The sequence below is a fragment of the Homo sapiens genome, chromosome 3 (assembly GCF_000001405.40).
Source record: "Homo sapiens chromosome 3, GRCh38.p14 Primary Assembly".
Taxonomy (NCBI): domain Eukaryota; kingdom Metazoa; phylum Chordata; class Mammalia; order Primates; family Hominidae; genus Homo; species Homo sapiens.
In genome coordinates this window covers 61,810,623-61,837,937 of record NC_000003.12, presented here as the reverse complement: position 1 = coordinate 61,837,937, position 27,315 = coordinate 61,810,623, and the positions used below count along the sequence as shown (strand labels likewise).

The following is a 27,315-nucleotide window of genomic DNA, read 5'->3' as shown; positions in this document are numbered from 1 at the left end:
GAAGAAAGACAGGGAAGGCCATGTGAAGACACACAGAGAAGGTGGCCATCTCCAAACCAAGGGGAGAGGCCTCAGAAGAAAGCAAACTTGCAATACACTGATATTTGACTGGCAGCCTCCTGCACTGTAAGAAAGCAAATTTCTGTTAAGTCACCCAGTTTGTGGTGTTATAGCTGCCCTAATGGACTAATACATCTGGTTTCAATGTCTTCACTTATTTTCAATAATCCCTCAAAATTGATCAGTGAAAGCACCCTCAAGTGAAAAATATGGTACATGTGTACGTGTACAGACATTCCTCATCCCCTTCCTTCACCTCAAACACAAAAATCCAGGCTAAAACCTTGCTATTGTTCAATCAATGCTGCTGATCCGCTCTTGTCTATGACGTACTATTCAGGCTGCACCTCCGTATTCAGCCTTTAATAGTCTAGTACCCCCTGCATGCCGAACATTCAGCAAGACATGGGCAAACAGGAGCCCTGCTTGTGACTCAACTTCCAGTTACTTTACTGTATCCCACATTTTAGGAGATATTACTGGGTAACTGTCAAAAGGTCAAGATCTAAAGATGAAAAAGCTGGATTCAGGTTGGGTGCGGTGGCTCACACCTGTGAATCCCAGCACTTTGGGTGGCTGTGGCAGGCAGATCACTTGAGGTCAGGAGTTCGAGACCAGCCTGGCCAACATGGCAAAACACTGTCTCTACTAAAAATACAAAAATTAACCAGGTCCAGTGGTTCACACCTATAATCCCAACACTTTGGGAGGCCAAGACAGGCGGATCACCTGAGGTCAGGAGTACAAGACCAGAGTGGCCAATATGATAAAACCCATCTTTACAAAAATACAAAAATTGGCCGGGCATGATGATGGGTGCCTACCTGTAATCCCAGCTACTCTGGGGGGTGAGACAGGAGAATCGCTTTAACCCAGGAGGTGAAGGCTGCAGTAAGCCGAGATTGTGCCATTGCACTCCAGCCTGGGCGACTGAGCAAGACTCCATCTCAAAAGAAAAAAAAAAAATCAGCCAGGCCTGGTGGCGTGTGCCTGTAGTCCCAGCTACTAGGGAGGCTGACGCAGGAGAACTGCTTGAACCCGGGAGGCAGAGGTTGCAGTGAGCCGAGATTGTGCCATTGCACTCCAGCCTGGGTGACAGACAGAGACTCCGTCTGAAAAAAACAAATAAAAAAACAAAAAACAACAACAACAACAAAAAAACTGGTTTCAAACAGAACTTCACCCATTTACAAACTGCATCATCTTCAGCAAGTTATTAAAACTTACTGCACCTCTATTTCCTCAACTACAAAGTGATGGCAATAGATATTATTATCTGATATTCCTAGTTCAGGCCTTGATGTCAATAATGTCTGAGAGGCATTATGCAAAGTACCCGGAAGGTAGTAAGAGCATAGTAAATAGTAGCTGCTATATTTTATTATCACTATCCCTAAGTAAAGCTGGCCTCCAGGAGACAGGAAAGGCTAGTGTCTTGTTTGGAACTGAGCCTACCATCTTTGTAGATCAACACCAGGCCTCAAAATGTTACAACTTTAAACTGCATTACTTCAACCACTTTCAAGCACTTACTATGTACTACACACTCAGAAAACAATGAGGAAGGTGAGGGGTACATGAATCAGAGAGGTCAGAGGGTAGTGGATGAACAGAAAAGGGCTATGTTCTATAACAAAGGCCTAAACAAAGAACAATGGTTTGGAAAGAGAAGAGACAAGGAAGGTAAAGACTTACCAGTGATTCCTACACATAGCTGTAAGAACAAAGAGCAGGCCTACAAATATCCAAAGAGCCATTAATCTGCAGTGGGGTTCAGGTGTGTGTGTGTGTATATATATATATATTTTTTTTTTTGGTGGGGGGGGGCGCGGGGGGTGAGACGGAGATTTACTCTTGTTGCCCAGGCTGGAGTGCAATGGCGCGATCTTAGCTCACCGCATCCTCCACCTCCCAGCTTCAAGCAATTCTCCTGCCTTAGCCTCCCAAGTAGCTGGAATTACAGGCATGTGCCACCATGCCTGGCTAATTTTGCATTTTTAACAGAGATGGGGTTTCACCATGTTGCCCAGGCTGATCTCGAACTCCTGACCTCTCAGGTGATCCACCCACCTCGGCCTCCCAAAGTGCTGGGATTACAGGTGTGAGCCACTGTGCCCGGCCCACGTGTGTATATTTTAACATATGCCCAAAGTGATCCTGATAAAAAGGTTGGTTTAAGAACCACTGATGTGACACTTCAGACTACCAACAAGGCCAGGCCATTAAGGACTTAAATAGCAGGAACGGGCTGGGCGTGGTGGTTCATGCCTATAATCCCAGCACTTTGGGAGGCTGAGGTGGCTGGATCACAAGGTCAAGAGTTCGAGCCCAGCCTGGCCAACATGGTGAAATCCCATCTCTACTAGGAATACAAAAATTAGCCAGGTGTGGTGGCGTGTGCCTGTAATCCCAGCTACTCAGGAGGCTGAGGCAGGAGAATCGCTTGAATCCAGGAGGCAGAGGTTGCAGTGAGCTGAGATCGCACCACTGCACTCCAGCCTGGGGAAGGGGGGAGTAGGAATGACATGATCCCACTGAATAGGAAATTGACTTCCACATTTACAAAGGAGGCTGGAGCAGGAGAAAGTAACAGTAGAGTCAGGAAGGGCTGACCAGAGGCTAATGGAATAACCTAAGCCCTTTTCTCTCAAGAGAATATTGAGGTAATTGAGGCACAGTAACGACCAAAGGAAGGCAGCCTGCCTCTGCCACAATGAGACACCTGGAAACTACCAAACTGGACAGCATAATTCTCAATACAAGTATAAATAATCCTTCCATGAACCTGACATTTATGATGCTGAATCTTAGGTATATTTGGACTTTATTTCTATATCTAGCTGAATTTCAGATAGAAAACACAGCCAAAAGGATTGTAATTATTAAACACAACCAAAATCAAAACCCAAGCTTTCACTAGCTTGGGTGGGCAATCTAGATGAAATATAATTCAATTGTCTAATTTCTGAGAGCTGGATTCCCAATATGTTTGCCTTAGGAAACTTCCAGGATGAGAAAAAATTGGCAGCTCACATCAGAACCAAAATGTTCATGTTTTTTTCTTTTTGAGATGGAGTCTCACTCCAGCCCAGGCTGGAGTGCAGTGGCACGATCTCAGCTCACTGCAAACTCCACCTCCTGGGTTAAAGCAATTCTCCTGCCTCAGCTTCCTGAGTAGTTGGGACTACAGGCACACGCCACCATGCCCAGCTAATTTTTGTATTTTTAGTAGAGACAGTGTTTCACCATGTTGGCCAGGATGGTCTCGATCTCCTGACCTCCTGATCCACCTGCCTCGGCCTCCCAAAGTGTTGGGATTACAGGCATGAGCCACCGTGGCAAGCCTTATGTTTTTAAGAAAAAGGATCTCACTAGGCTAGTCTTGAACTCCTGGGCTCAAGCGATCCTCCCACCTCAGCCTCCTGAGCAGCTAGGACTACAGGTACATGCCACTGTACCTGGCTAGAAGCACATTTTTAAATCAATTAAGCTCAACAGCAAACAAAGTTTTGAACTGTAAACTGACCCCCTGCCAGGGTAGTATCTTTGAGAAAAAAACACTCTTAAGGCCATAAAATAATTTATATGAAAAAACTTGACAATATAAATATTCCAGATGATTCTGAGACCAATTTTTATCAAAGCTCCATCTAACAGTTGCAACCACAAGAGACTTTTTGTGAAGAAATGACTCAGGAGAGGCAACATGTCAAAGAAAGAAGAAAAGATGCTGTAACAAACATCCTTCCAAGGCAAATGTGTTCTTTGACAAATAACCTAAAAGAGTAATATATAAGCAATCCGTTATGTTTACTTCCCAAGAAAAGCATCTTCTGAAATCCTAAGCTGACCTCCATGTTATTAATCATTTTAAGTTACTGTGCTGTGACTAATTGAAGCCAATAAAGTAGATGAGAAATAAGGAAGACCCATAACTTTGTGGATGAGAATACCTAACATTTACACAGAGCTCTCCTTTCAAAGATGAGCTTCCATAGAAAACACTTCAACACGGCTGGGCGCGGTGGCTCACGCCTGTAATCCTAGCGCTTTGGGAGGCCGAGGCGGGCACACTGCCTTAGCTCAGGAGTTCGAAACCAGCCTGGCCAACATGCTGAAACCCCGTCTCTACTAAAAATACAAAAAAAGTAGCCAGGCGTGGTGGCGGGTACCTGTAGTTCCAGCTACTCAGGAGGCTGAGGCACGAGAATTGCTTGAACCCAGGTGGCGGAGGTTGCAGCGAGCCGAGATCACACCACTGCACTCCAGCCTGGGCGACAGAGTGAGACTTGTCTCCAAAAAAAGAAAAAGAAAAGAAAGGAAAACACTTTGCCGGAATGAGGAAAGCAAGTGAAGTGCCTGGGGATAAAGGATTCACCAGGGCATTGGCACACACGCTCACTACATCCTCGCAGGGACTCTCGCTTAGGTCTGGAATTGTCACAAACACCACCCCAAGCGCAAGATCTGACATTCTGAAATAAACTAGATTAAGCCAGTAAAAGCCCTAGAGATTTCTTCTGCACGTTTTTAAGCAGATTTGCTATATCAAGCACATGCACACTGGATTTTGACAGATGTAGCAAATTGCCCTGCAAAATTGGGGGCATTATAGTGAAAGTCCTATAGTATATATTTAGGGTCATATGTAGAATTCAATTTATAACTTTCAGTCAGGAGACTCTACCTGCACCTCAGGCTAACTCTACTCCACCCTTCAAATAAAAAGAAGGAGAACGAGGTAATGCTCATAAATCAACACGTGGATAAAGAAACTGTGTACACACACACACACACACACACACACACAATGGAATACTACTCAGACATAAAAAGGGATGAACTAATGGCATTCACAGCAACCTGGATGGAATGGGATACTATTATTCTAAGTGATATAACTCAGGAATGGAAAACCAAACATCATATGTTTTCACTCATAAGTGGGAGCCAAGCTACGAGAATGCAAAGACATAGGAATGATAACGCTGGACTTTGGGGACTCAGCGGGGAAAGGGTGGGAAGAGGACGAGGGATAAAAAGCTACATATTGGGTTCAGTGTATACTGCTCAAGTGATGGATGCAGCAAAATCTGATGAATCACCACTAAAGAACTTACTCATGTAACCAAATACCCTGTTCCCCAAAAACCTACTGAAATACAAACTAGAAATAAATATTTTTTTTAAAAAAGTAAGTAAAAACCAAAGATCAGAGCAGCATATTCTGCATCTCAGTTTTCTCAGCTATAAAATGAAGATAATGATACCTACCCTACAAGATCCACTGGGGGAAGAGGGTGAGATAATGTCAGATAAGGACCTGATACCCTGAAGGCTGTACACACAGCACTTAACAGAGCTAGTTCCAAAGCCAGAAAGCCTGGGTTCAAGTCCAGGTCAGTTTCTTCCCAGTTGTATGACCCTGCCCCAGATGCTTACCCACTCTCTATGCTCCAAAACTCTGTTCTGAAGATGATCACAGTACCTATCTCATAGGGTTATGAGAATTAAATGACTTAGTCCAGGGAAGGGGTTTTGAGCATATAATAATGTTTTTAAAAAGAGATAGTTATTATTTTAGGCACCAAATTCAATATTCTAACTCCATTTCCAAATCCAATAATTTTGAAAGTGGAGCTTCTATCTCCATGTCACAACGAAAAGCACAGCTGTGGGGAGAATGTGCCCATTACAGCTAAATGGAAATGTGAATTCATTTGCATGGAATTGTGCATGCAAAGCACCCCCTTCTTGTTAGGCTGAACAACATGATTACACTTATTTTGGCAGATATAATTTTTTGATTGACTCTTTCTGGGATATTTATAAGATACAAATGTATAAATCCATGTATAAATGAAATCATCTAGAAACATTTTTAAAATATTACATTATTTTTAGAAAAACAAACCACCTAGAATAGTTATAGACAAGATGTTGTTTATTCTCTTTTAAGTAATTTTTAAATCTTCTCATCTGAACCAATTAGAAAACTTTTACCACCCATCAATATCTATCCTATGTGTGTGTTTATCTATATACAGTTTGAACCAGCAATTCTTATGAAAAACTATTTCCTTTTTGCAATGGAGAAAAAGGCACAAAAATATCATTTACCCATAAGACAGAAAACTCAAAAAGCACCCAAAATTTGGTATACCTTTTTCTCTATTTCCATGGTCATTGGCATTTTCCTAACTCATCCATTCCTGAAATTCCTAAGTCATCAATGTGAGAAACAATTGTAGATAGAATAACTGAATTAACAAAGTAAGAAGATACCAGATGGATGCTGTCCTCAACAGAATGAATGAATGGTGGCTTGAGTCTGCTTTAACTTTAAGCTGGGTTGAACATCAAGCAAGAGAAGTAACATGAGGTTAAAAAAAACAAAAACAAAAACAAAAAAACAGGTGTCACCTGCAATTTTTAAAATGGAACAAAAGGTCCTTCCTGTGTGTGGTATATTTATAAGTAAAAATTATCCCAATGATTTTATGCAAGTCAAATGACAAAATTATTCACTCAACTGCTTCCTTTCTTAACTGCTTATTCCTTCTCTTCACCATAAATGGGTATTATGCTCTTTCACAAAAGTTGTGAGACAGATGTTTACACACATATTTCTATATTTCAGTGAAAAATTCTGCAACAGCAGCTAGGAGTATCCTGGGTTATGCCTGAATAATGCCTCCATGAAAATAGGAAAGATACTCATCAGTATCAGTATCTTTTTATCAGTGAGATTAAATAGATGGATCACTAAAGGAATATATTTTGCAGCTAAATGTCCATCACTGACCCGATATTCCTCAAAAACTTGAGAATATCAGACAGTACAAGCTAAGGCTTCAAAGGCTGAACCCAGATGTCTGTTATTTAAACATTCTCATTAGGTCTTTGAAAAAAGAAAGGAAGCCACCAAGTAAAAACAAAGCACAAATTTCACTACAGCTCCACAAATTTTGATGCATTTATACCTCCCGATAAAGAGATCCATCGGCAGGGCGCAGTGGCCCATGCCTGTGATCCCAGCACTTTGGAAGGCCGAGGCAGGTGGATCACCTGAGGTCGGGAGTTCGAGACCAGCCTGACCAACATGGAGAATCCCCATCTCTACTAAAAACGCAAAATTAGCCAGGTGTGGTGGCGCGTGCCTGTAATCCCAGCTACTCGGGAGGCTGAGGCAGGAGAATCACTTGAACCTGAGAGGTGGAGGTTGCAGTGAACCGAGATCACGGCATTGCACTCCAGCATGGGCAACAAGAGCGAAACTCCATCTCCAAAAAAAAAAAAAAAAAAAAAAAACAAAAACAAAAAGAACCATCACCAGTTTTAAGTAAGTCGTAAGTCGAAGATTCAAAGATGAGAACATTGTGGACAAATCTGTCAAGAATCAGCAAACCTGGAGAAGCCCCTAAAGTTTGTTTTCTATTTAAAAGATATCTATAGACAGACAGTTGGAGAGATTGACAGATTTCTGGGTTTTATGGTTGAACTGTAATTACACAACTAAATTAAACATTATCAACCTAAAAGATGATAGTATTCTTCCACGACAACAGAGTAAGACAGTTCACACCGTATAATTCCAAAGCATAGCAGTCTTGAAATTCACACAGTGAAGTTTCCAAAAATACGGCAATTCTGATTTGCTACACAGGTTTTCAGAACTGGCAGTATTCCCAGGGTTATGCCACATGACATCACAGCAATTCTCAGAGCTGGCTTTTAAATGCATTTTTCAGTGAATAAATTTGACCAGCTTGTGATGTAAATCTAACTTTTAAGGACAACTACTGTGTATAACAAAGATGCTGTCTTCACACTGCAGTATTTAAATCACCACATGCAAAGGTTTCTCCTCTTCTTTTCTGTGAGCTATCCACCATGTGGAGGATACAAGAACATCACAGCATTATAAAAACTAAAATGAAGTAGTCTTTAGTTCCACACTAAATCAACAGTCCCAACCAGATCACAAGCAAGACAACCTCTTCCTCCAAAATACACAGGCGCTCTGTCTCCTTTCATTCCAAGTTCAGGACCATGTTACACCAGCTAAATTAATCTACCGGGTGATTTTCTTGACTGTATGACTCTCACTTGAAGGATGACAGAAATTCTCAATTAAAAAAACCAAAAGGAAGCTGTGTCAGACAGCAACAAAACAACAAAAAATCCTGCAAGAGTCATCACTGTTGGAAATATACTTTTCCTGTGGATTAATACACTCTCCCTGACAACCTGTCATGTGATTTCATCCAAACTGTAGTCGCATCAAATCCAAGAGAAAGAGACAGCAGGAAGGGTTGGACAGTATTTGCTTTTGGAGTAGTTAACCCATGAAGGCTTTCTTCGGGCCTGATCCTTTAAGCCCAAGTATGTCCCTGGTGGTGTCGTTTAAGGCAGTGATCGGGCTAAGTGAGGCATGATAAATGGCCCCCAGCCTGCACCCGCCTCGACAGAGGCCTGTTTGGCCCTGGCCACGGAAACAGAAAGGTCATTCATTACCCAATGTGAACAAACAGAGTGCACGTTTGTGATAAATAACGGTCATTATTGAACTACAACGCTGTCTGGGAATTCCTCAACACTTCCTTGACATTAATGTACTATTTGTGGAGGGCTCAGCGAGGCTCTCTCAATATTATTTAGTGCTTCATGTTTTATGTGGGACACCACAGAGACATTTACTTCGCCTTTGTTGGGATGCATGAGTCGGAACAAATACTGAGTATCTTCCTTCATATCCCATGCCAAGTAAGTTCCTTCTCTCTCACTCATAGGCACGTACTCGGGCACACACAGGCAAGCTCATGCACACACATACACACCACGTGCTAAGGATATATATCTATATAACACATGCAGATGCTGACAAAACCTACACTTTAAATATTGGAGAAATCATCTGTTCTAGGCTTTCACCTCTTCTGGGTACAGAATCAGTCATATAGGTAAATATCTTCCACCCATGACCAAGGGAAAAAAAGGAAATATAGGTTATTGGCCCAAATAAACAGATCCCTCAGGGACATGAAAACCACAGCTCACCTCTTTTCACATAATCCCTGTCACTGTGCCTTCACACAAGCTGCTGTCACTGCAGGCAAGGCTTGTCACCCTGTCCCCTGGAGGTCTTCACCAAGCCAATTCCCATTGGCTCAAGTCCAATACTATCCTATCTGAAGCCTTTCCAATGCATCCGACGCCAACCATGTGTAGTCACTCCTCCCCTGGGTTCACACAGCACTTCCTCTGGGTTCACACAGCACTTCCTTGAAAGGCCAGATGAGACACATGTTGGTTACAAGTCCATGCATTCACTTTCTACCTATTTGGTGTTAAGCATGGGCCAGGCACTATGAAAATGAAAGACTACGTGCAAAACACACCTTGTCTACCTTGTTCTAGTCTAAAAGCATCTTCTCCATGGAGTAGCTAGAACTTAGATTTCTTCACTTGAATATTCCCAGACGCTACTGACTATGCCTGGTATGTTATAGTTGTGCAACACATGTGTCGCTGTATGAAAGAATAAACAGACATATGGACAGATATTAAACATCTTCCATACTGTGTCACCCAGGTTTGACTGCATATAGGAAAATAACTTACTCCTTTGCTAGCCTAGGAATTTAAACCTTTAAAAAGTGAGTGACAATTATTGTATTTCGTAGAAACGCTTAGAATAAATAAACTATGTAATGTACCTTGATAGACTGAGAAAAAAAGGGCATGTAGAAGACTAAAATCACATACCAGAGAAATATCGCAATGACTCAGTATGACCAGCAAAACAAAAACTAATTACTGTACGTGGAATTTAGGTCAATAATACATAACTGACTTGATCTAAGAATCAGCAGTTAATTTAAGGAAAAATATTTTAATGTAAGAAATTACCTAAACTTTCCAAATAAATACAGTAAGATTAAGTGTCTCTCTTTAGGTAGTATATATGAGCTAATGCACTATTTTATTATCTGTTATAGACATATTTAAGGTACTATATAATAAGAAAATATAATATCTAATCTCTTTAGATCTCTAAAGTAACTGTATCAGGATAGGGTCACCAGTGATGACCTATAGCTTAGAAAAGCTTGTATTTTATCTACTTGATATTAAAATGTATATCATGCTGTTTATCATGTATGTATAACCTAATGAGGCAAAATATTGGGCCTTCCCAGTATTTGAAAGATATATATATATGCTTCCAACCAGATAAATATGAAAATATAGATAGACACATGGTTAGATAGACAGAGAAATATGACTACAGCCAGGGGCATTTCCATGGACTGAAGGACAGATCAGGGATGTCACAAAATATCATGAGGTCACGAGAAGGACATTCACTGGCAGAAAGACATGAGATGATTTCTGACCTTGGATCCATGAGTGAGGCTGGGATCCCAGATTCTGTCCACCTTCCACCTTTCCTATAGTATGATGGGGTGTGATTAGGAACAAGGTATACAAAGGTTGGAAGTGAGATTGAAACCCTTCTCCGAAAGTGCATCTGATTACATGAAAGACTAAAAATCAAAGCCCTATATTTACCACATACTTCTCTGGGTGAACTACGTTATGCCGCAAACCAGTCCTCCAAATAGAATCTTACAACAGCAAGATGTTTTCTTGCTCATGCTGCAAATGCACCACTTAGGGGACTAGGCCCAACATCTCCCTTACTGGGGTACCCAGGCTGAGAGGGTAGCTCCACCTTCACACTTCCCTGACTATAGAGGATAGAAGAACACAGCAAAGCATGCCCTTACTCTGAAAGATTCCAACTAAAGGCAACAAACGTCTATATCCTCATTCATATCGATATTCTCATTCTAGTTGCCTGATTGAGTTTGAGAGTCATGCTCAACTTAGAAGAGGGCGGGATAAGTAAGGCTACCATACGCCTGGAGATGGAGAGCTAAAAATATTTCTAGAAGCATAGTAATTACTACTTCAATCACCAAATGATTTCAGGACAGGTTAGGTTTTGCCACCACATAATCGGAAAAAAAAAAAAAAAAACCTTTCCATTTTTAGAACGTTTTATATTTGGCTATCATGTCTAATGGACTCTAGACCTATGATACTTCACAGATGAGAAACAGAAGTCAGGCATCTTTGCTTACAAAAAGGGCTATAAAGGGAGGTGTAAAAAGTACTTGGTAGAGTAAGAAGCAAGTATTTTACCTCACTGTAAAAAATCATACTTAGCTCCAGGCTGCCACTAACACAAACACCAAACATCTGGCCATTCTTACATTTTTAACAAATTGGCCGTCATCAAAAGTAGGGAAGAGGGGAAATAGTACAAACATCGGATTTTTTTTTTTTTTAAGTTCTGGAAGATGTGGAAGAAAGGACTGGGTGACTCCAAGATTACTGTAAATCATTTTTGTGGGGTTGGGAGGGTCAGGTGAAAGGATAAATGCATTTCCCAATGATTCTCCAGTGAACTGGATTAATCAACAATAACCCGCATGTCATTATCTTGTCAGTTCCACTTAGCATCACTGCAGGTTGGTCCCCTGATGCCTCCACAGTTTAAATGTATCAGCATTGATATTCACTATATACTACTCACCGTAGGGGAAAGAGTCCCTTTTACAGAAGAAGGGATAAACATTTTTTAGCAGATACAGATCAAATTTCCACGAGAGAAACAAATCAGGAGGCTTCTCCCTACTATTCCGTGCAAAACGACACAACCAAATAAAAAAACATTTTAACTTAAGATATGTATTTTATCCTCCTAAAACAATAGGACAGCTGGTAATGATAATGAGAGTTAAGGATATTTGAGCAGTTTCTATGTACCATGCAGAGTGCTAAGTAGTTCCTATGCATTATTTCCATGAATCTTCCAAAATTGTTACTGTTATCATCATTTATTAACAAGATTGGCTGGGAGTGGTGGCTCACGCACGCCTGTAATCCCAGCACTTTGGGAGGCTGAGGCAGGAAAATTACTTGAGTCTAGAAGTTTGAGACAAGCCTGGACAACATAGCATAACCTCATTTCTACCAAACAACAACAACAAAAAGTAGCTGGATGTGGTAGGGAACAGCTCTAGTCTTCAGCTACTTAGGAGGATGAGGAGGGAGAATGGCATGAGCCCAAGAGATGGAGGCTGCAGTGAGCTGTGATCCTATCTCTACACCCCAGCCTGGGTGACACAGCGAGAACCTGTCTCAAAAAAAAAAACCTAAGAAAACGGAATAAGCCAAGTGGTAGAACTAAGACCTTATCTTGGTCTTATTCCAAATTTGTGAAATTTATTTAACTACCATACAATAATGCCTCCCATTTCATACCTAGAATCTAGTAACTAACTGCTAGTTCAGCTTTTAAAATCTATGATACGCATTGTAAAACCATCAAAACAATAGGTATGAAACTCTTATGTTTCCACTTTTCCCTCTTTGTATTATGTTCTGGTGTTTACAATTTCTATGGATCATAACCAGAAGCAACCTCAACCACTTATTTGCATTTTTCTGTAGTTTGTCTATTTAATCTGTGTTCAGTATGACCAGTCTTACACTTGAAGCATTTAACTTACTGGTCTTTAAAATAAAACATGGGAGAATAGTAAGCTCAATGGGTTTCCCTTAATTAGTAATCCCTAAAAGTGTTGAGACACATGAATGTGCAGAATTACTGAATTCTGTCCAATAACCTGAAAACTTTCTTCAGGCTTTGTGACTTCAGGAGTACATTTACTGATGTATCTCGAATATTCTTACCCTTTTCACAAATCACCCCTAGAGGAGAAAGGAGTCAGGGTTAAAAGACAATTCTTTACTTCTACTCTGGCATGTCACCTTTTGCTTCCCATTCTGCACTGCCCACATCTGATGGCAGCTTCAAGACCACACCTAGTTAAATTAACTGAATGTCAAGGAACACATATCCACAAGGGTTTTCTGTCCTAAGTGGGTTGTTAAATCTAAGGAAGCCAGTTGGACTTTGTATGACTTATCAACATGACCAGCAAGTAGTTGAAGGATTAGAGTTTATGTCATACAAAATTTTCATCACTGTGGAGAAATCACAGTTTGTTTTGACATGAGGTCTTGCTTTGTTGCCCAGGCTGAAGTACAATGGCAAGGTCACAGCTCACTGCAACCTTGACTTCCTGGGCTTGACTGATCCTCCTGCTTCAGCCTCTTGAGTACAGGCATGTGCCACCATACCTAGTTAATTTTTGTTTGCCCAAGCTGGTCTCAAACTCCTGGGCTCAGGCAATCCTCCTGCTTTGGCTTTTTAAAGTGCTGGGATTACAGGCGTGAGCCACCATACTTGCTGAGAAATCACAGTTTCACTTAAGGATTCCATTGAGATTGAAAATCCTCAAAGCAGAATTAAATTGCAGCTATGGTTTTCCCTGCTGCAAGGGAAGGCCTCTTAGATGTAAAGTTTGTTTTTCTTCCATCCACCTATCCTACATGAGTAACCTGGTGGTAGAAGACTGTGTGGGGTTTGTGAAGGAAGGTTGCTTACATTCTTATGAAACACCTAAGGAAACAAATAAAAATTTAACCTGGCTTCTCAGTCAAAATTAACATATTCATCTACAAATATGACAAGTCATTTCTGCAGGAAAGCCTAGAAAATATTTTAAACTAACTCAATAGGAATAGTCTAGTGTGGTTTGGAAAACTGTTCAAAATCTCTCACTCAAATCTCACAACTGTCAACTCATTTTTCATCATCTTTTTTTTTTTTGAGACGGAGTCTCGCTCTGTCGCCCAGGCTGAATGGAGTGCAGTGGAGCGATCTTGGCTCACTGCAAGCTCCGCGTCCCAGGTTCATGCCATTCTCCTGCCTCAGCCTCTTGAGTAGCTGGGACTACAGGCGCCCGCCACCACGCCTGGCTAATTTTTGTAATTTAGTAGAGACGGGGTTTCCCTGTGTTAGCCAGGATGGTCTCGATCTCCTGACCTTGTGATCTGCCCACCTCGGCCTCCCAAAGTCCTGGGATTACAGGCGTGAGCCACTGCACCCAGCTTCATCATCATTTATAACAGGGATATTTATTATCAGTATATTTGCTGGACAGACATATCCAAGAATGAAGGCATTTCTCCGTTGTCCTACATTATTGATTTCTACTTGCACTATAAATCCATGTGAACTTAAACTCCATGAAGAACAAGTTGTTTTTCCTTTCACCTTATTAAGCTAGTCTACAAAATTAAAAAATATATAAATTACCATAATAATCTTTAAGTTTTTCATCACTTTTGTTACATTAACATCTATTCTAAATGCATAAATTTGTTACACCCAAAATGCATAACACATTTAAGTTCTACTTGCTCCTCTGCAATGAGCAATATGATTCCACTAATTAATAACCCCTGTGCGGCCAGGCCTGGTGGCTCACGCCTGTAATCCCAGTACTTTGGGAGGCCGAGGCGGTGGATCACGAGGTCAGGAGATTGAGACCATCCTGCTCAACATGGTGAAACCCGTCTCTACTAAAAATACAAAAATTAGCTGGTTGTGGTGGTGTGTGTCTGTAGTCTCAGCTACTTAGGAGGCTGAGGCAGGAGAATCCCTTGAACCCGGGAGGTAGAGGTTGTAGTAAGCTGAGATGGTGCCACTGCACTCTAGCCTGGGCGACAGAACAAGACTCCATCTCAAAACAAAAACAAACAAACAAACCTGTGCAACTGGCTCATCATCAATTTCAACTCCATCAATCTCCCAAAGTAACCGAACTTGCAAATGCAAACTACGCATGATGGGATGGAGTAGATGGTAAAAAATATTCAGCCCAGGGTAATTAAGTGCCCCAAGAACTCCTAACCAGGAAAGGCAGCACAATGAGTATCAAAGGGATGTTGGCCCCCAGTCAGAGTGGAGAATTAACACTCACTTGTTCCTCTCTTTCCCAGAAAACACACACAGGGAGGTGTTTTCAAGTCACCATCGGCCATGTAACGAATCAGTCTCAAAACAAATATTGCCTTTCCTCTGTCTCCTTTTTTGGGGAAGGTATGAGGACTGTTAGAGAAGAAATTCTCCTACTGTGTGTGGTTGGAAGAATAAAACATTTGACTAAAAGGGTAAAGGTTGCTACACCAAGGACCAGAAACTATTTTTGCACCAAAAATACCCCATTAATGGCCATGTAAAAATAGCTTCACATTGGAAAATTCCTCCTTGCTTAAATTGGAAAGAAAATCTCTAGGCTATGAGAATTTTCACAAATATAACACTCTAAAGGATGTAGCTCCTTTCCTTCAAATGCTTGATTTATTTTTCTTGTCCATTTGGTTTTTCCAAACAGGAAAGATCCCTCTGAGGACAGAAAGCATTTTTTTTCTTTCCTTTTCTACAGAAGGTCGCTGTTCTACATTCATTACCAGAGTTGGCTGTGAAAGCTTCCATTAGTGAATTACTGCAAATAAAGTTCAGAGACAACACTAACATGTTAGTCCTCATTAAAGAAATAGTTAACTCTGAAGTCAGGGACACGAGGGAAATTCTCAAAACATGAAGCCAACATTCCCAACAGGCCAGAATTATTTTCAGGCTGGCTTTTACCTTTTCCAATTACAACGTGAAACCCAACGGCTACTCACTGCATATTTGGGGATGTGGGTGGAAAGAGAAGAGCTGAACAATTAAAAACAGACACAGAAGTCAAAGAAACAGTATTGAATAGGCAAGAATGTTGCCATAGAGGAGCATTTCCAAAAACAAACTCACTGAGCAAACTCATAATACTTCCAGGTCAGAAAAGAGAGATTCTCCACTTGGCTGTGCCAGTGACTGAAACTAATTACTTAGGCAAGTTACTTACATTGTCCATGGTGCAGTTACTTAATCCCTGATGATGAAGGAGGAAGATAGATTACTATGATGCATTTGAGAGGCAGTTAAATTGCTAGCTTATGCTTCTGCACGCACTTGGCAGAGCCTGCCCAGTGCACATTACATAATATTCTAACAGCTCTGTTTACTCATCTGTAAAATGGAGAAAATAACTGTGACTACCACATAAAGGTGCTGTGAAATCCAGTGATATAATACTAGTAAAGCGCTTAGCATGCATCTTGGGCGGATGTTCTCAATCATTATCATATTCAGTATTGTCATCGCTCATACTGCTATTCATACACTCACCTCACGACCCCTTACCCTCTACTGTTTATATCTCTTTAACTTTCATATTTCCCCTCTTCTTTTGCCTCTGTCTTCTATGCTTAGGGTCATCCTAGCCTTCCTTTATTAGCTTTATAAGTCACAGCACATTACTTATCATTTAAGCCTCAGTTCTCTGGCATGCAAAACGAAAGAAATACTATTTCCCATAAAGGATTAAGAAATGTAAAAACTGTAAAACTCCTTTTCTGTCAACTTAAGAAGAGCAGACGGCAGTGCGCGGTGGCTCACGCCTGTAATCCCAACACTTTGGGAGGCCGAGGCGGGTGGATCACGAGGTCAGGAGATAGAGACCATCCTGGCTAACACGGTAAAACCCCGTCTCTACTAAAAATACAAAAAAGTAGCCAGGCGAGGTGGCAGGCGCCTGTAGTCCCAGCTACAGGGGAGGCTGAGGCAGGAGAAGGGCATGAACCCAGGCGGCGGAGCTTGCAGTGAGCCAAGATCACGCCACTGCACTCCAGCCTGGGCAACAGAGCCAGACTCGGTCTCAAAAAAAAAAAGAAAACAAGAAGAGCAGACAAATGAGAACTGATCATAACTAATATGATTAATATGTTTTGTGCTGTTTTTATTATTGAAAAAGTTAAACTCATAAAGCTGAAGAAGTAGCCATTAAAAGGAGAAATCTATGCTGAGGAGAATACTGCAAAATGTAGACAAAGTCCAAAAGAAACACAGCATTTAAAAATCCTGGATAAGGAAAGGAATATTTGAAATGCTTGGCGTAATGAAAAAAAATCCATAAATGTTCACAGTGAATCAAAAAAACACCATGTCCAATAAAGGTGTTAGAGGTAACAAGTAATCAAGCTCTCCAGTGTGGCCAAAGAACCCTAGGAAGTCTCACTCATATACAATTTCTCACTGCGGTCACAGAGGAAGTGCAAAACAGGAACCCCTGAAGATGAATGCTATAGCTAGCTGTTACTCAAACAATCCCCAGCAGCCAGGCGCCTCTATCTACCCAAGAGCAAAACCTGCTTTCTCCATTTTAATGAACACCGTGATTCAACACCAAAATTACTGTTTTATCCCTAAAGCCACAGTAAAAAAAAAAAAAAAAAAAAAAAAAACAGAGACACAGGAACAAGAAATTAAAAAGGGGAGTGTTTTCTGAGATGATGGGTATTTCTGTGTGTCAACTTGACTGGGCCATGGGGTGCCCAGATACTTGGTTAAACATTATCTCTTAGTGGGTCTGCGAGGGTGTTTAGGATTCAATAGACTGTTTAAAGCAGATGGCCTTCCTCAATGGGTGGGCACCACTTAATACGAGTGGGTACCTCAATGTGGGTAGGTACCCATTCAGGGCACCCTGAGTGCCTGAATAGAACAAAAAGGCAGAGGAAGGGAAAACATCTTCTCTCTGCCTGAGTGTTTAAGCTTAACCAGGGCCATAAGTTTCTTCAGGCCTCCAAGAGAGATGGGAATTTACACCATTGGCTCTCCTGGGTCTCTAGCTTACAGACAGCAGACTGTGGGACTTCTCAGCCTCCACAGTCACACCAATTCCTTATAATAAATGTCTTTTAAAAATATATCTCCTTTTTTCTGCTCCTCTGAAGAACCCTAACTCACATATCTACTAAAATTTCAAATGAGTGATTCAACATCCTATGTTCGCTTACTGATGACTCAAACCCTTTTTCTCCAATGTATTCTTTTTTATTATTAATAAAAACCAAAATGTCAGGAAACACTTAAAAAATATGAATGATCCGTTCCTAAAAATCCAATATTCACATACATTTTCCCAACTAGTTATAATGTTTTCCATTTTACAACGTGTTTGCTTCAATCAGGATCCAAATAAGGGCCATACACATTAAGATAAATCAAGGTATTCCTTAATCTCATTTAATCTATAGGTTCCCCTTTTATCTCCATTTACCCCTTTTTGTGCTAAAAACATTTTGTACCCTCTGTTGTATAAAGATTCCCATGTTATGGATTTTGTCTGTTTTGCTGATTGCATCCCCATGGTGCCATTTAACATGATACTCAGTTTAATTTCTGTAAATTGATAGATGTAGAAGCTTGATCAGACTAAAGTTCCCTATTTTGTTGGCAGAACTACCTTATAGGTAGTACTGCATTCTCCTATGGAGAATTATATAAAGTCTAGGTGTCTCCCCCATTTGTGATGCTAGTGGCCATTGATAATTATTGCCTAGATACACAAATTTATTCAGGGCCACAAAACTGTGTCACCTCTAGTGCTATCCTTCCCCAAATTCACTGGACACTCCAATTATGATTATCTGAAACACTACATGGTATCCTTAGTAGATGTAAAGAGAAAGAACAATTAGCAATCATTTACCGACCTCTACTTATGTCATCAATGCTTCCTCAAGCTTTGAGGTTATCTGAAGCTTGTTCTCCACTAGTTCCTTCAAAAACAGCTCATGGAAGTTATATTGCCTGATTTCTGGCACACTCACAATCATATGATCTTCATAGTTGAAGACCATTTTGGAGAGTTATAAAATTCATGGTTCACATTTTCTATCCTTGCATATCTTAAATATGATACTCCATTGTCTTTTTGGCATATAACACTACTGTCAAAGAAAAAAAAAGTTTCACAAGAATCCAATTTTCCTTTCCTTATAGTGACAGAGTCTTTTTGCTGGGATGCTCAAAGGATTTTTGTTTTTCCTTTTCATGAATGACCCATACTTTCTCTATATTATTTATCTGGGATGATTTGAGAAGATTTAGTAAGGAACATAGTGGCCCTTTAAATATAGCTTTAAAGGGCCACTATTTCACTATTTCACTATTCACTATTTCACTATTCACTATTTCACTATTCACTATTTCACTATTCACTATTTCACTATTTCACTTTAAAGGGCCCCTATTTCAATGACTTTTTCTTGTGATTTTTAATATTTTTTTTCTCTTTACTTTCAATTTCTTCTTACAGGACTCCTATCACACATATTTTGGTTCTCCTTTAGGCAGCCTCTATACAACTTTTTCTTTTCTCCCTTTTTTCTGTTTGGAGACAGGGTCTTCTTGCTCTATTGTCTAGGCTGGAGTACAGTGCCACGTTCATGACTCACTGCTATCTCAAACTCCCAGGCTCAAGTGATGCTCCCACTTCAGCCTCTCAAAGTGCTGGGATTACAGGCATGAGACACCACACCCACCTAAACAACTTTTTCATTATACATTTTATAGGACTTTTTCATTATTATATTTCTCTTTGATTATTAAAATCTTCTCCTCCTCTACTTGCTCTTGCATTCTTTCTAATTTATTCTTAATTTCTGAGACATTATTTTATTTCTACTTCTTTCCCAAATCCTGCCATCTTTCTCTTCAATTCTGGCATTTCTGAGTTTCTCTAAAACTAATGTATAACGTTCTTTCATACCATCTATCACATTCTCATATTTTAGTCTTATTTTAAAATATCAGGTATATAGTGTTCAACTCTTTTATGAGTGCTGCTCCGTATTTCCTTTTTTTGGAATAACTTTATATAGAGTTCAAGTGTAATGCTTTTCTTCTGCTCATTTTTTAATGTAAAATAAATATTCCCAAACGCTAATCATGGGGTTAGGGTGGGGGGTATGGTGGAGCTTTTCTAGTTCTTAACATGTAGATCTCCCACTGTTATTTTCACAAAGTGATTCCAAACACTATGACCTTCTGCTTTCACAGACCTGTCTTCTCAACTTCCACACTGTTATCTGAACCTTGTCTATACTTGACTCTCACCGCCCCATCTTGTTCATTCTGACTTCTACCCCCAGCAGTTCTTCCTCTTGCAAGTTTTACCTTAGAAGGCAGATTCAGGTTATTAGTTTGGAAAATGATAGAGCCCCAAAATCACCACATCTTGCTCCACTGCAGTCTCCTTGCACTCATCCAGGAACTAGGTATGCTATGGAAGCATGCCTACTCTTCAATGCACATCCCAAGTAGGCCCAGCACACTTTCCCATGGGCATCTGCAATATGCAGCTGATTTGAGACTTCAGGTCCTCTGTCTCTTCCCTCTGGGGCCAATTCCACGCAGGTCTCGTAGCTGTAGGTGGTTTGTCCCATCCACACATATTCTGAGACTGATGGAGATACCTCATAACCTAGTTTCATTACAGATATTGTTTGTGAGTTTATAGTTTAGCTTTCCTAGTTGCTTTATTTTTCCATGGAAGAATTTGGGATTTAAAAACTGCCATTATTGGTTGTTTTCTTCTCAGAATTCATTGAAAACTCAACTATAATGATTCTAAAGCCAACAACAATCAACTAAATATTTTATTTTTCTTAGAAATATGAAAAGGTACATTAAATTACCAACTCCCCCCAAAATAAAAATCTCCCCCTACCAATGTTTTCTATAAAATTGTTGAACCATTTAAAAAAAAATTTCAGTGATTTAAAAGGTTCAGCACTTACTTTTGATGGAGATTCCCAACAGCTCTCTATAAATATATATTTATATATATTATTATATTATTATATATATTATTTTATATATTATATATTATTATATATTATATATTATATATATGTAATATATGTATTATGTGTAATACATATGTAATATGTAATATGTAATAATATGTAATATATATTATATATAATATATGTATTATATATTATATATAATATTATATATTATATACTATATATTATATAGTATATATATTTATATTATATAATATATATATAATATATATATAAGTGATTACTGAAACTCTCAGGTACTACCAAAAAGCTTCATAGCATTATATTTCATTTCATTTTACCAGTAAATTATCCCTACCAAAAAGCTACATGTCAATACAAATTTTCAACTGAAACTTTTCTCATCAGCACAGTGAGACATCACTTTTATCTCACCAAGGTCTTCAAATCTGGTCACTTCTCTATTATCTCCTTCACAATCATACTCAACCAAACTTTCATCATATCTCATCAAGACCGCTGCAAAAACAGCCATCCATGTGCCTCCTCAATTCATTTTCAAAAACTCCATAAACAATTTGAATACATGTAGCCATTGGGATTTTTCTGTGGGAGAAGATGTCCAAGGAATTCTAGGCCAAGTAAAGCTGCAACCATCTGATAGCTGGATGGGATAGAGTTAACATTCCAACATTTTTCCTGGTGTTTGTTTGTTTTTGAGAGGGAGTCTCGCTGTGTCACCCAAGCTGGAGTGCAGTGGCGCAATCCTGGCTCACTGCAACCTCCGCCTCCAGGGTTCAAGTGATTCCCCTGCCTCAGCCTCCCAAGTAGCTAGGATTACGGGCCCCCACCACCATGCCCAGCAATTTTTTTTGTATTTTTAGCAGAGATGGAGTTTCGCCATGTTGGCCAGGATGGTCTCAAACTCCTAACCTCAAGTGATCTGCCCGCCTCATCTTCCCAAAGTGCTGGGATTATGGGTGTGAGCCACCACGTCCAGCCTTTTTCTGGGTTTTTGAAATTCTGTTCAAGAATGCCAAGACACAAAACAACAGCATGTCACAATTCCTACTTTGAATGGAGTTGCCTTGCTATTTGAACTTCATCCCTGGATCTCAATTTCCTCACCAGGTAAATGTAGGAGCTTGACTAGATGATACTGAAGTCATGTTACAGATTTCATAACAAACTTAAAAGAGTTATTCAACAGCAGGCAGGGAAGACCTAAAGTCATCAGTTTTGCTATCAAGAGATCTTCACTTGTAGTAATATTTTCAAGGGTTAAAGATGGCCAGTCACCAGTGACTTTAGGAAATAAAATAGCCTAAAATGAAATAAAAATGAAAATAATGAGAGGTCCATTCTAGAATTTCCAAACACTGGTTATGTTTTTAGGGCAAATGAGGAACATGTTCTGCTGTATTCATTCCTATATCCCCAGTGCCTGTAACAGTGCACAGCATGTAACAGGTGCTTTACAGATATTTATTGGATAGATGTGTGGGCTTCCCTTAACCTAATAAACAGCCACTGTATCTTTCAACTTGCTTAGTAATGATTAAGATCACAGAGCAATGAGGTTCTCAATAAGCACTCACAATAAAAAACGGATAAACTACTTTTGCACAGTAAAACAATGCAGCCCCCTCATCTGGGTCCCTACAATCTTGTCAATATATAACCTCGTATTCTCTGATTAGATCAAATGAGAGATGACACTGAGACATGGTTATCCCCATTATAATGTATTCCATCTCTAAGACTGCATTGGAAACAGGGTTAAAGCCAATCAAGACAGTAAAATGAAACAATAAGATTTCTTTTATTTTTATTTTTAATTTTAATTTTTGAGACGGTCTCGTTCTGTTGCCCAGTCTGGAGTGTGACAGTCAGGTCACTGCAACCTCCACCTCCCAGGCTGAAGTGGTTCTCCCTCCTCAGCCTCCCACGTAGCTGGGATTACAGGTGCACATCACCATGCCCAACTGATTTTTTTTTTTTTTTTTTGTATTTTTAGTAGAGACAGGGTTTCGCCATGTTGCCCGGGCTGGTCTTGAACTCCTGAGCTCAAGAGATCCACCCACCTCGGCCTCCCAAAGTGCTGCAGTTACAGGTGTGAAGCACTGTGCCCAGCCAGATTTCTTTTAATAATAAACAAAACTAAACATGAGAAAGCAGCAGCCACTAACCACCTAATTAGCAGGCAGCTCACAAAAAACCTGAGTCTGAGGCAGCCCTGCAGAGGAGAAAATGTACTAGATAGGACACTAGGCAGATATGAGTTTAAATCCTGTCTCTACCACTGGCCACTCTAAGCTTCAGCATCTTTATTTATGAAATAGCAATAAAAACTGCTAGCTTCCTGATAGAGTTGCTGCCAGGGGTAAATGATACCAGGTATGCAAATCACTTAACAATATGCTTGGCACAAAGCAGCCATGCAACGACATTTATTTCCCTGAGCCCCTCCCAGTCATCCTAGATGAATACAAAGAAGAAAAAAGTGAGATAAGATAGAAAGCAAGAGCAATATCCTATCATGGCACACAAGTTTTTATACAGGTTACTTCTCCTTTTGCTTATGCATGAAATAAAGCAGCAGCACACTAGGTAGCTACTACTGACATTTAAGAATTCTAAGCAGCCTCCCATGTAACTCACAGTTACCAGAGGTCTGAGAAAATCTTCAGAGCAGATCTTCAAGTATAAACAAACAAAAAACAAGCAGAAAACATACGGGGCTACTAGAGAGAAGCTGAACTACAGTAAGTCAGATATCAACAAAGCAAGTTACCACTAGACATAGGTCTGCAGGTGGATTTCAGATTTACTCTCTGATAAAAAACTAGCAAAGTCTGTCCTTCCAGCTGTTCTTGTATACGAGAAGTGGAATACTCCAGTGGTTATGAACTATAAGCTCTTTAGTAAGATGGTGAAAGAGCGAGAGGGTCTGGTTCAAATCCTGCTCACCCGCTTGTTAGGGATGTGAGTTTAGAAAGGCGCCTTAGCTTTCTCCCCATCAATATCTTCACTGTAAAAATAGTATCTCAGCTGGGCGCTGTGGCTCACGCCTGTAATCCCAGCACTTTGGGAGGCTGAGGCGGGCAGATTGCCTGAGGTCAGGAGTTCGAGACCAGCCTGGCTAACATGGTGAAACCCCATCTCTACTAAAAATACAAAAATTAGTCAGGCCTTGTGGCACATGCCTGTGGTCCCAGCTACTCTGGAGGCTGAGGCAGGAAAATCGCTTGAACCCAGGAGACCAAGGTTGCAGTGAGCCAAGACAAGATTGCGCCACTGCACTCCAGCCTGGGTGGTGACAGAGCGAGACTCCAACCCCCCCCAAAAAAAAAAAAAAAGCCAGTATCTCATAAGATGTCTGTAAGAATTAATGTAATATGTGAAAAGCATGTATTACAGCACTACACAAATGTTTGGAACATAAACAAACCACTTCGAGACCTTGCTTCTTTTGTCACATGAGAATATTAACAGCCCCTTCATCATAGGCTTGTTAGAATAAATCAAACAAGATGTTCCATGGAAGAGCCAAGAACATAGTATACATTCAATAAGTTATTATGACTACAACTACAACTACTGCTATTAAAGGCATCTAGAACTCTTCATGGCTGAAAAATAAGCCAGTACAACTAAACACACACACACACACACACACACACACACACACACACACACACACACAGATTTTCTTTTTTCTTTTTTTTTTTTTTGAGACGGAGTCTCATTCTGTCACCCAGGCTGGAGTGCAGTGGCACGATCTCAGCTCAACGCAACCTCTGCCTCCCTGGTTCAAGTGGTTCTCGGTGCCTCAGCCTCCCAAGCAGCTGGGATTACAGGTGCATGTCACCACACCCAACTAATTTTTCTATTTTTTTTCTATTTTTTTTTTTTTTTTTTTAGTAATCATGGGGTTTAACCGTGTTAACCAGGCTGGTCTCCTGACCTCAGGTGATCCACTCGCCTAAGCCTCCCAAAGTGCTGATATTACAGGCGTGAGCCACTGTGCCCAGCCATACCCACAAAGATTTTCATTCTAAAATACCTTACTCTTTCTACAGCCTCAGACCCCATGCTCTACCATTCCGTTGAGCCCCACATAACCTCATGCTAGAGAGAATCTGTACTATGTTCTACCTCACTCACCTGTTCTAGTATTTCAAATACAACAGTCTTTCCCAAACAACAATTGGTGGGAAACAGTTTCAGGTGATCTACACAAGTATTCTTTGCATGTAACAAAACTGTTTACAGGATTTAAAATTTTAATTGTCTCCAGAAAGCAAGGGGGCATTTAAGACCCTAAAAGTAGTTATGCACATTTAGATGAACCTAGCATCCTAAACCAGTAGGAGCACATTAAATATTCATCAAACCAGCAAGACAGTTGTTCACAGGGTTTTTCTCTGCCGCAATGCCCTCTATCACTTCCCACACTCTTAACTGCATCAGAGAATTATCTGAGAGCTGGCCCAACATGGGCAGGGAGACTGAGGGTGAACATCTGAGGAGCCCTCGGGGCACACATTCTTCTTAAAGACTCTTGAGTCATTTTGCTGGTCTTGTTGTCCCTTAAGAATCTCTACTGTGGAAAGCAGCTAACGAGGAGTTATCTGGAAACCTAGATAGGATGAATCTGACTTTTGGTGAGCAAAGGCATCCATTTCTGTTTCAAATAATCTTCAACCTCTATTACAAAAAAGGAACAAATAGAGGCAGTATGTGGAAACTTAGGAAGTTTAATGACAAATCTGGGCTTAAACTGGTGGGTTTTCATTACACCACAAAAATGTACATACCCGTTTTGAATGATCTTCAAAGTGTGAAAGATTATTACATACAAAAGAAAAATTGATCACATCCTGAAAAGAAGGTGGAAAATAAATATTTGCTGAATGGCTCACAGATGGATTGACAAAATGAATGAATGAATGAATGAATGAATGAATGGTCAGGACCACTGCTAAACTACCCTCAAGACAGTAAATCTAAAAATCATCGTTTTCACACACACACACACACACAATCAACTGTAGATACCAGGAAGAAGTTGCCAGAAAACTTGTTATTTGCAGTAAGAATGCGTTATATTGGGGTACAAGCATCTCTTCATCCTGCAAAACCACACGTTTATATCCTAGCAGTTCTACCTCCTGAAAAACTAAGGCTTAACTCATGGTGCTCCCCACTATGTCCTCAAGCACATTTTGAAATAAAAGCCTTTTTTTGAAGACAGGCCTACTAATAAATTTAATTATTTCTGCTATGCCACAACAAATGGAGAGAAAGCGCAGAGCTCAAGATGAACAATAATCTAAACCGTTAGATCTGATTTGTAACCTAATTTTATTCTGGTACTGGCAGAGGAACAAAATAAAACTCAAGCTGTAATAACAGGCAAGGTATGCTGTCAGCACTCTTGAGGGAATTTTTATATTTTAAGCCTGTGGGAATTTGGAAAAGGTCCATGGTACTATTTTTTCCCTTATCTGACTCGCATGGCTGATTACACCTTTAAATTAAGTCTAATAATGCATATTGTCTTTGTTAATCAGGATATGAAAGCTGAAGTTGTGTTTTGTGAAAAAGCAGATCATTTTCCAATATAGAACTCAGGCATGATGGAATGGACACTTCAATGAAATTCAGCTTTGGTCAAATGGAGGGCAAGTTACATGGCCCTAGATGCAACTAATTCATTTCCATCATCACTGTCCATTCTGGCTCTTGTTGGTTTTCTGGCCAAAGAGCAGACATATTAGTCAACTTGTCTGCTGTGTTGGTCAGATTTCTACTGCAACAATACTGTGGGACCAAAAGCAAGAGGGGAAAAAAGGATTTTGGTATTGAACAACAGTAGGCATTTATTTCTTGCTCACTGGTGTTTGGGTACACTGGGTGACTGAGAGTTAAGCAACAGGTTGGGGCCAGGAAGTTCCACCTGTGAATCTAGGACATGCTTTTCTCATGGTACCTAGCAGAACAGAGAGGCCAAGTAAAGTCATGCAAGCACATTCAAGCACTCTATTCATGGGCCTTCCATGACATTCCACTGACCAAAGAGCATCACAAAACCCAGCCCAAAGTTCAGCCAGAAGTGAGATGTCCACAGCAGGCCTAATTGGGAGGCACAGCAGAGTCACAAACTAAAGGGGCTGCTGGGCTATGACAGGGAGAAAGTGTCACATTCGAACAATCATCAGGTCTACCTCACCTGGGCTGCCACATTCACCCTAACCTGCCCTCCTGGTGACAGCCTTGCACTCCCCAACACAGGTAGGCAAGGGGGAACCCTCATTGGCTGGCAGGTAGCCAATCAGATACTCATTCTTACATCATATGATGTCACCTTGATGGTGGAACGCTAAAGTAAAAGCCCACAAAAGCAAATTCAGCTACCCTCATTACAACCCTTCTTAAGGACTGGATTCTCCATTTGTCCCGAATTACTTATAAAAAATGCCTATTCATTCTAATTAGTTTCTTTGGATCTCCATGACTTCTCTGTCAAAGGCCATTGTAGGGACAATTGCATTACACAGACAGAGCTGAGAAGAGAAATCTGTCCAAAAGAGGTAGGAGTTGGGTGGCCAAGAGTAGGGGTGG

The 27,315-nt window shown here is 40.4% G+C and overlaps 1 protein-coding gene across 7 annotated transcripts in view, besides 2 other annotated features; it reads right to left on the bottom strand.

Annotated features, from left to right (window-relative positions):
• PTPRG (protein tyrosine phosphatase receptor type G) overlaps positions 1 to 27,315 on the bottom strand; it is a 736,039-nt gene that overhangs the window by 459,672 nt on the left and 249,052 nt on the right. The gene's annotated exons all lie outside the window — the stretch shown is intronic.
• Positions 7,313 to 7,917: an enhancer, noted in NCBI's record as "NANOG-H3K4me1 hESC enhancer chr3:61815695-61816299 (GRCh37/hg19 assembly coordinates)". NCBI's record gives its function as "activates a minimal SCP1, AML or CMV promoter by ChIP-STARR-seq in primed H9 embryonic stem cells {active_cell/tissue: H9 hESC(primed)}" and the evidence as "EXISTENCE:reporter gene assay evidence [ECO:0000049][PMID:30033119]".
• Positions 7,918 to 8,521: an enhancer, noted in NCBI's record as "NANOG-H3K4me1 hESC enhancer chr3:61815091-61815694 (GRCh37/hg19 assembly coordinates)". NCBI's record gives its function as "activates a minimal SCP1, AML or CMV promoter by ChIP-STARR-seq in primed H9 embryonic stem cells {active_cell/tissue: H9 hESC(primed)}" and the evidence as "EXISTENCE:reporter gene assay evidence [ECO:0000049][PMID:30033119]".